This window comes from Homo sapiens, chromosome 17 (assembly GCF_000001405.40).
Source record: "Homo sapiens chromosome 17, GRCh38.p14 Primary Assembly".
In the NCBI taxonomy this organism is placed as follows: Eukaryota; Metazoa; Chordata; class Mammalia; order Primates; family Hominidae; genus Homo; species Homo sapiens.
This window is the reverse complement of record NC_000017.11, coordinates 32,393,488-32,403,527: the sequence shown is the minus strand read 5'-3', so window position 1 is coordinate 32,403,527 and position 10,040 is coordinate 32,393,488.

Below are 10,040 nucleotides of genomic sequence, written 5' to 3'. Positions count from 1 at the left end.
AGGCTCTTGCCTTTTCATATAAATTTTGGGTTAAGCTTTTCAAGTTCTAAGGAAAGTCATTAGGTATACCATTTAATTTATAATTTGGAGAGAATTAATTTTTTTCTTTTTTAAATTTTATAGTCTTTATTATTGAAACATTGCGTTTCCAAATCACAGTGGTTTCTACTGACAAAGTGCCTACAATTCATTTCTTTATTAATTACAAACATTTCAGAGTAATTACACAGCACTTTATCTTGTGCCAGCCAAACCTCACAACAATGCTAGGAGGTAAGCTGTCACACCTACAGTTTGTTTTTCCCTCTAAAGGAGAAGGCAGGGAAAGAAAGTCTTTTGCAGAGTTATACAAATATTTGGCAAAATTCAGAACAAATCTGAGAGGGCTATTGATAAGAAGCTCTTTTCATTATAGACATTCATTCTATCCATGAATGAGAGAAAAAAGAGAATGGAAGATTTATGCATTACTTCAATTGGAGAAATGAGATAGGAGAGTGGCTAACACAAAAATCCCTAAATATTGTTTTAGAAAGTATGAAAAGTGGACTGGGTGTGGTGGCTCACGCCTATAATCCCAGTATTTTGGGAGGTCGAAGTCGGCAGATCACCTGAAGTCAGGAGCTCCAGACAGCCTGGCCAACATGGTGAAACCCCGTCTCCAATAAAAATACAAAAAAAATTAGCCAGGCATGGTGGCACATGCCTGTAATCCCAGCTACTCAAGAGGCTAGGGCAGAAGAATTGCTTGAAACTGGAAGGTGGAAGTTGCAGTGAGCTGAGATCGCGCCACTGCACTTCATCCTGGGCAATAAGAATAAAACTCTGTCTCAAAAAAAAAAAAAAAGTATGTAAAGTGGCATTTTTATCCCACTTTGTACACTGCTTATATCTTACCTATGCAGCTCATCCAATATCTCATTGCATCTGACAATTATTTTTGACTACCTTTTAAAAAGATGGAAATGAACCAATTTCATAATTCATTTACTTATAAATACATCTTTATACAAAGGGGAAGGGCCTAAAAGACTATTACAGAACCAATTTTTTTTAAAAATTGAAAATTACACATTACCACCAGATAGCATTTTCCCAGATAGGACTTTGAGTAGGCCGGGCGCGGTGGCTCACATCTGTAATCCAGGCACTTTGGAAGGCTGAGATGGAAGGATTGTTTGAACCCAGGAGTGTGAGACCAGCCTGGGCAACAAGGTGAGACCCCCGTCTCTACAAAAAAATTTAAAACTTAGGCATGGTGGCACACGCCTGTAGTCCCAGCTACTGGGGAGGCTGAGGCAGGAGGATTACTTGAGTTCAGGAGTTTGAGGCTGCAGTGAGCTATGATGGGATGGCATCACTGCACTCTAGCCTGGATGACAGAGCAAGATCCTGTCTCTATGTTAAGTAAGTAAGTAAATAAATAAATAAATATTGACTGGGCGCGGTGACTCACACCTGTAATCCCAACACTTAGGGAGGCCAAGGTGGGTGGATCATGAGGTCAGGAGTTCGAGGCCAGCCTGGCCAACGTAGTCTCTACTAAAAACACAAAAATTAGCCAGGCACGGGGGTGCATGCCTGTAGTCCCAGCTACTCAGGAGGCTGAGGCAGGAGAATCGCTTGAACCTGGGAGGCAGAGGTTGTAGTGAGACAAGATCATGCCACTGCACTCCAGCCTGGGCAAAAGATTGAGACACCATCTCAAAATAAATAAATAAATAAATAGGCCTGGTGTGGTGGCTCACGCCTATAATTCCAGCACTTTGGGAGGCTGAGGCCAGTGGATTACCTGAGGTCAGGAGTTCAAGACCAGCCTAGTCAACATGGTGAAACCCCATCTCTACTAAAAATACAAAAAATTAGCTGGGTGTTGTGGTGGGCACCTGTAATACCAGCTGCTCAGGAGGCTGAGGCAGAAGAATCACTTGAACCCAGGAGGCAGAGGTTGCCGTGAGCCAAGATCACGCTATTGCACTCCAGCCTGAGCAACAAGAGTGAAACTCTATCTCAAAATAAAATAAAAATAAATACTTCTACTTTGTTTATAACTAAGTTTGCAATAAAAGATGTATAAGGGTTGGGCGTGGTGGCTCACGCCTGTAATCCCAGCACTTTGGGAGGCTGAGGTGGGTGAATCACCTGAGGTCAGGAGTTCGAGACCAGTCTGGCCAACATAGTGAAACCCTGTCTCTACTAAAAATACAAAAATTAACCAGGCATGGTAGTGCACACCTGTAGTCCCAGCTACTTGGGAGGCTGAGGGAGGAGAATTGCTTGAATCCAGGAGGTGGAAATCACAGTGAGCTGAGATCACACCACTGCACTCCAGCCTGGGTGACAGAGTGAGACTCCATCTCAAAAATAAATAGATAGATAGATAGATAGATAGATAGATAGATAGATAGATAGATAGGCCAGGCTCAGTGGCTCACTCCTGTAATCCCAGCACTTTGGGAGGCTGAGGTGGGTGGATCACCTGAGGTCACGAGTTGGAGACCAGCCTGGCCAATACAGTGAAACCTTGTCTCCACTAAAAATACAAAAATTAACCAGACGTGGTGGTGCACGCCTGTAGTCCCAGCTATTTGGGAGGCTAAGGCAGGAGAACTGTTTGAACCCAGGAGGTGGAGGTTGCAAGTGAGCTGAGATCGCACCACTGCACTCCAGCCTGGGTGACAGAGCGAGACTCCAAAAAAAAAAAAAACAAAGTACAAGGTCAGGAATGGTGGTTCATGTGTGTAATCCCAGCAATTTGGGAGGGTGAGGAAGGAGGATCACTTGAGTCTAGGAGTTCAAGGCTGCAATGAGCTGTGACTACACCACTGCACTCCAGCCTGGGTGACAGAATGAGAGTCTGTCTCTGAAAAAAAAAGAAAGTCCATGCTAGGCTGAAGGAACCAGAGGTGCAAAGGCCCTCAGGGCAGAACTCTGTATTTTTGCCATAGGAGAATTTTGAGCAAAAAAGTGTAAATATTTTCAAAGAATTAAATTCTTGGACTGGGTGCAGTGGTTCATGCCTATAATCCCAACACTTTGAGAAGCCAAGGCAAGAGGATCACTTTAGTCCAGGAATTCAAGACCAGCCTGGTTAACAAAGTGAGACCTTGTCTCTACAAAAAATTATACAAAAATTCAATAATTAGCCAGGTGATAATTGTTAGTGGGTGGTATGTGCCTGTAGTCCCAGCTCCTGGAGAGGCTGAGGTAGTGGGAGGATAGCTTGAGCCCAGGAGGTTGAGACTGCAGTAAGCAAAGGCCTTGCCACTGCATTCCAGCCTGGGCAATAGAGCAAGACTCTGTCCCTAAAAAAAAAAAAAGAAATTATTGCATTCCAGAATAAATCCTCCTTGTCTATTGTATATTATTTTATTATTTATGTATTTTGGGACAGTTTCACTCTTATTGCCCAGGTTGAAGTGCAATGGCACGATCTCGGCTCACTGCAACCTCCACCTCCTGGGTTCAAGCGATTGTCCTGCTTCAGCCTCCCGAGTAGCTGGGATTATGCCCAGCCAATTTTTTGTATTTTTAGTAGAGACGGGGTTTTCTCATGTTGGCCAGGCTGATATCGAACTCCAGACCTCAGAAGACCCACCTGCCTTGGCCTCCCAAAGTGCTGGGATTACAGGTGTGAGTCACTGCACCCAGCCTCATACATTATTTTAGTACACTGCCAAATTTGTAAGAATTTTACTTCTCTTCCTTTTTTTTTTTTTTTATACTCATGAGATTGGTTTCTAATTTCCTTTCTTGAACTTCTTTTGCCCATTGTTTCATTAAAAAGAGACAAGGTCTCTGTCATCCAGGCTGGAATGTACTGGCACAATCGCAGCTCACTGCAGCTTCAATCTCCTGGGCTCAAGCAAACCTCCCATCTCAGCCTCCCAAGCAGCTGGGACTTTAGGTGTACACCAGCACATCTGGTTAATTTTTTATATTTTTTGTAGAGACAGGGTCTCACTATGTGTTGCCCAGGTCCTCCTACCTCAGCTGGGATTATAGGCATGAGCCATCACACACAAGATGTTATCCCTTTTTCTGAGTCTCTTCCTTTCTTCTATTGAATTGATTTCTGTATTCCCTTTTTTTAGCCGTGCTAATTTGAAAACTATAGATGTGTCTGGGTTTTTTTTAGTAGTTACTCTTGATTTTAAAGCAACACACTTAACTTTATGTCTACTCTAAATGTCTGCAGCTATGTCTCTCTTCCTGGGGAATGTGAAGAGATTCTTAGCACACCATTGGACAGATCCTCTCTATTACTATTTAGGGCAGCACTTCTCAGAGTATGTTCCCCAAGGCCCTTTCAAGGGTCTGAAAGGTTAAAGCTATTTTTATAATAATACTACAAATTGTTCTCAATTGATTGACATTTGCATTAATGGTACAAAACTGATGATGGGTAAAAGAGCTGGTGTCTTAGTATGAATCTAGGCAGTGTTATCAAACTGTCCCAGTAGTCACTGTATTCTTCATCATGCACTCACAGAAAAAGCCAGTTTCACTTAAGATTGCCCCAGATGACAGAATAAAAATTGTTAATTTTATAAATCCTTGACCCATGAATACACATCTTTTAAAAACTGTGAGTGATAACATGGGAAGCATGCATAAAACACTTCCACACACAGAAGTACAAGAGTTGTCTCATGGAAAGACATTTGTGCAATTCTTTGAGTTGGGCTGAACTAGCTACTTTTCTCAGGGAGCACCATTTTTATTTGCAAGAACTGATAGACAACCACGGATCTACAGATGTGGGTATGTGGCAGACATTTCCTCAAAAATGAAGTAACCCTGTCACTTCAAGAAAAACAACTCAGTATTTGTTGTAACAGAAAACATTTAAGCTTTCAAGTGAAAAAGCGATTAAAATAATCCCTTTCCCAACTACTTGTCTGTGTGAGGTTGGATTTTCTTTGGGTACTTCAACCCAGAAAACACTGCAACATACTGAACACAGAAGCATATATGAGAATCTAGCTGACTTCTATTAAGACAAACATTAAAGAGATCTGCAAAAATGTACAAATAACGCCACTCGTTACATTTTTGTCTTGATTTAAATTTTTATTTTGGGAAAAACAAAAACAAAAATAAATAAATTTTTATTTTGGGGCCAGGCATAGTGGTTCACACCTGTAATCCCAGCACTTTAGAAGGCCAAGTCAGATGGATCATTTGAGGTCAGGAGTTCAAGACCAGCTTGGCCAACATGGTGAGACCCCGTCTCTACTAAAAATACAAAAATTAGCCAGATGTGGTTGTGCATGCCTGTAATTCCAGCTACTTGAGAGGCTGAGGTAGGATAATCACTTGAACCCAGGAGGCAGAGGTTGCAGTGAGCCAATATCGTGCCACTGCATGCCAGCTTGGGTGAGAGTGAGAACCTGTCTCCAAAAAAAAAAAAATCATTTCAGGCCAGGGATAGTGGCTCACACCTCTAAACCCAGCACTTTGAGAGGCCAAAGCAGGAGGATTGCTTGAGGCCAGGAGTTCGAGACCAGCCTGAGCAACATGGCAAAACCCCATTTCTACCAAAAAGAAAAAATAAAACAAAATTAGCCAGGTGTGGTGCAGCATGCCTGTAGTCCCAGTTACTCAGGAGGCTGAGGCAGGAGGATCACTCAAGCCCCAGAGGTTGAGGCTGCAGTGAGCCATGATCATGCCATTGCAGAGTGAGACCCTGTCTCAAAAAAAAAAAAAATTATTTTGGCCTTCCATCACAAAAAAGGGTTTAGAGTCAATAAATAATTTAAACTTACTGACCTGTTAAATTAATTCCTATGGTCACATTACTTTAAGTCAACCACTCCTCCCACTATAGAAACTACCTTTTGCTTCTTGATGCCCACACTTTCCTTCTGGATTAACTTTTCTTCTTGTAGAGGCATAACCTTGAATAATTTTTTTTTTTTTTTTTTTTTTTGAGACAGGGTCTCACTGTGTCACACAGGCTGGAGTGCAGTGGTGCAATCTTGGCTCACTGCAGCTTCAACCACCAGGCTTATGTGATCCTCCCACCTCAGCCTTTTGGATAGCTGGGACTACAGGCAAGCACCACAATATCCTGCTAATTTTTTGTAGAGATAGGGTTTCGTCATGTTGCCCAGGCTGGTCTCAAACTCCTGGGCACAAGCAATCCACCCGCCTCGACCTCCCAAAGTGCTGGGATTACAGGTGTGAGCCACCGTCCCGGTCTGAAATCTAGATGTTCAGTGATTATCTTCTCAAATGTGATCTGTCATTCCTTTCTTAAGTTTTTTAGTGTCTTTGAATGAAAAGTTAAGGTTTTGTCTTTTTTTTTTTTTTTTGAGATGGAGTCTCGCTCTGTCACCCAGGTTGGAGTGCAGTGGCATGATCTCGGCTCACTGCAAGCTCCGCCTCCTGGGTTCATGCCATTCTCCTGCCTCAGCCTCCCAAGTAGCTGGGACTACAGGCGCCACCACGCCCGGCTAAATTTTTGTATTTTTAGTAAGAGATGGAGTTTCACTGTGTTAGCCAGGATGGTCTTGATCTCCTGACCTTGTGATCCGCCCACCTCAAGCCTCCCAAAGTGCTGGGATTACAGGCGTGAGCCACCATGCCCGGCCACCTTCTTACTTTTTAAATCTCTCCCTTTTCTTTCTCTTACTCTACTTTATCTAGAAGATGTGCAGTTGGCTCCACCTGTTCCTCCAGAGCCTTCAATTAAGATCTAGGGCTTCATAGTGTTTCAAATCTTCTGTGCTGATACACTAATATTACAGATTCAGTCACTTGAGCAGACAGGCTACTTTGCTGTTTTTGGTCAAAAAGTCATGTTTTTCTCCCTTGCCCTCACTAGGCCCACTTTCTTACAAAGCAACAGTCCCAGACAGACAGTCAACCCTTTTATCAGCCTGCTTTCACAAGCTAATGCCCATCCCAGGCCCTGGCTTTGAGGGATACTCCCAGCTCCAGGCATCTCTGCCATGGAGTTCTCCTAAGGATCTGTTTTACAGAAAGAGGTCAAAGTCCCAGCAAACACTGATTCTCCACTCAGAGCCGGAGTCTCACTGTGAGCCTCACATGCCACTAGAGCTTTCTCTTTTTTTTTTTTTTTTTTTTTTTTTTTTTGAGATTGAGTCTCACCCTGTCGCCCAGGCTCTGGTGCAGTGGCACAATCGCGGCTCACTGCAACCTCCGCCTCATGGGTTCAAGCGATTCTCTTGCCTCAGCCTCCCGAGTAGCTGGGATTACAGGTATATGCCACTACACCCAGCTAATTTTTAGTAGAGACAAGGTTTTGCCATGTTGGCCAGGCTGGTCTCAAACCCTTGACCTCAGGTGATCCACCTGCCTCAGCCTCCCAAGGTGCTAGGATTACAGGTGTGAGCCAACGTGCCTGGCCTCTCTTCTATTTTTAGTCATATGTTTTTCCTTTTTCAACATTTATTTATTGCTACGTGTTTGAGGCAGAGGAATTGTGTTGAAGTTGAGCTCACTTTAACATCTCAATCAGAAGTCATATATCCTTTCTACATTTTATAAAAATAGGAATATATTTTATAATTTAATACGTTTTTTATTTTAAATTTGTTTTACTCCCTTTACTATATATGTATTATAACAGGGGCAAATAAATAGCAGAGTCGTGGAAGCAAGGAAGAGCCAAATTCTGATAGAGGAAATGAATTTCTCAGAAGCTCTTGCCACATACAAAAAATAAAAGAAAGATAAAAGAAAAGACTTCACAAAATTTCAATCACTTGCCTGCCAGCATCCTAAAATTTTCTGTGGATTCACTGGAATGGGCAGATCACCTGAGGTCAGCAGTTCGAGACCAGTCTGGCGAAACCCTGTCTCTACTAAAAATATAAAAATTAGCTGGGCGTGATGGTGGGCGCTTGTAATCTCAGCTACTCAGGAGGCTGAGGCAGGAGAATCGCTTGAACCCAGGAGGCGGAGGTTGTGGTGAGTCAAGATTGCGCCACTGCACTCCAGCCTTGGCGACAGAGCAAGACTCCGTCTCGAAAAAATAAATAAATAAATTTTAAAAAAATGATTAAGATGGTAAATTTTGTTCTATGTATTTTACATAAACGTAAGAAAAATATACCTGAAGATATCATCCAGGCAACCAACTTCTTTATTTAATAAGAAAAAAATACTTTTGATTTGGAATTTGTGAGGTGAAAGGACTAACAGTTAATATTTAGACTTGTAAAGAAAAATAAGCATAATAATAGTAATTGTGGCTACAAAGCAGAAGGTAAATGTTACAATTCATGAATAAAGCCACAATAAACTTTCATACAACATTCACGTAATATTATTTAATATTACTACAAAAAAGTAACCATGAATAAAATAAAAAGACACCCTACCATTTAACTCACCAGAAAATAGGGGGAAATACCAAAGACGCATAGAGAAACGTGTGCAAGAACTTGTCAGTGGCTGGGTATGGTGGCTCGCGCCTGTAATCCCAGCATTTTGGGAGGCTGAGGTGGACCAATCATGAGGTAAGGAGTTGGAAACTAGCCTGGCTAACATGGTGAAACCCCGTCTCTATTAAGAATACAAAAATTAGCTGAGCGTGGCTGCGCACCTGTAATCCCAGCTACTCAGGAGGATTGCTTGACCCTGAGAGGTGGAGGTTGCAGTGAGCTCAGATCACACCATCGCAACTCTAGCCTGGGCAACAGAGCAAGAATCCCATTTCAGAAAAAAAAAAAAAAAAAAAAAAAAAAAAAAAAAAAAAAAGAACTTGCATCAAAATGTTTACATGGTGGCCGGGCACAGTGGCTCACACCTGTAATCCCAGCACTTTGGGAGGTCAAGGCGGGCGGATCATGAAGTCAAGAGATTGAGACCATCCTGGCCAACACAGTGAAACCCCGACTCTACTAAAAATACAAAACATTCGCCAGGCATGGTGGTGTGCACCTGTAGTCCCAGCTACTTGGGAGGCTGAGGCAGAGGAATCGCTTGAACCCGGGAGGCGGAGGTTGTGGTGAGCCGAGATTGCACCATTGCACTCCAGCCTGGGCAACAAGAGCAAAACTCCATCTCAAAAAACAAATAAACAAAAAAAAATGTTAATATGCTTATCTCTGGATGGTTGGATTAAGGGTGAGTTCTGATTTTTTTTTTTTTTTTTTGAGATGGAGTTTTCGCTCGTTTCCCAGGCTGGAGTGCAATGGCGTGATCTAGGCTCACTGCAACCTCTGCCTCCTGGGTTCAAGCGATTCTCCTGCCTCAGCTTCCCGAGTAGCTGGGATTACAGGCATGCACCAACATGCCTGGCTAACTTTGTATTAGAGATGGGGTTTCTCCATGTTGGTCAGGCTGGTCTCCAACTCCTGACCTCAGGTGACCTGCCTGCCCCGGCCTCCCAAGCTGCTGGAATTACAGGCGTGAGCCACCGCGCCTGGCCTGCTTTCTTTTATACACATTTTTTTCCTCTGACATGGGATCTTGCTATGTTGCCCAGACTGGTCTTGACTCCTGGGCTTAAGTGATCCTCCCACCTCTGCCTCCCAAGTAACTGGGATTACAGGCATGCTCCAGTGTGCCTGCCTTGCTTTCTTCTTATTCTTTAATTTTGACCAGTTTGTTCCCCATCTCTTGACCTTTAGAATTCCTGCTCCTACTGCCTAAGACACTCGTCCTGTGCCTTCTCCACATGGCTGGCTCCTTTCGATCACTTAGATACAGCTCACACATCATTCAATTCCTCAGAAAGGCCTTCCTCTAACCTAAAGGAGTCCCAACTCCACCAACCACTATTATTTTACTCTGTTTTTTTGTCTTCATGGCACTTTATCAGTATCTGAAATTAAGTTATTTTCTTTGTTTAATGTTAATCTCCAAAACTAGAATGGAAGCTCTATGAGGGGAAGGGCTCGTCTGTTTTGTTTACCTAATGTATTTCCCTAGGACCCTGAAACATGTTATAGCCCATAATATTGGTTGAAAATGAATATATTTGTGCTAATTTTGTAATCAGAACAACAAAAAAAAAATAACTTTTTTTTTTGAGACAGGGTCTGGCTGTTTTGCCCAGGCTGGAG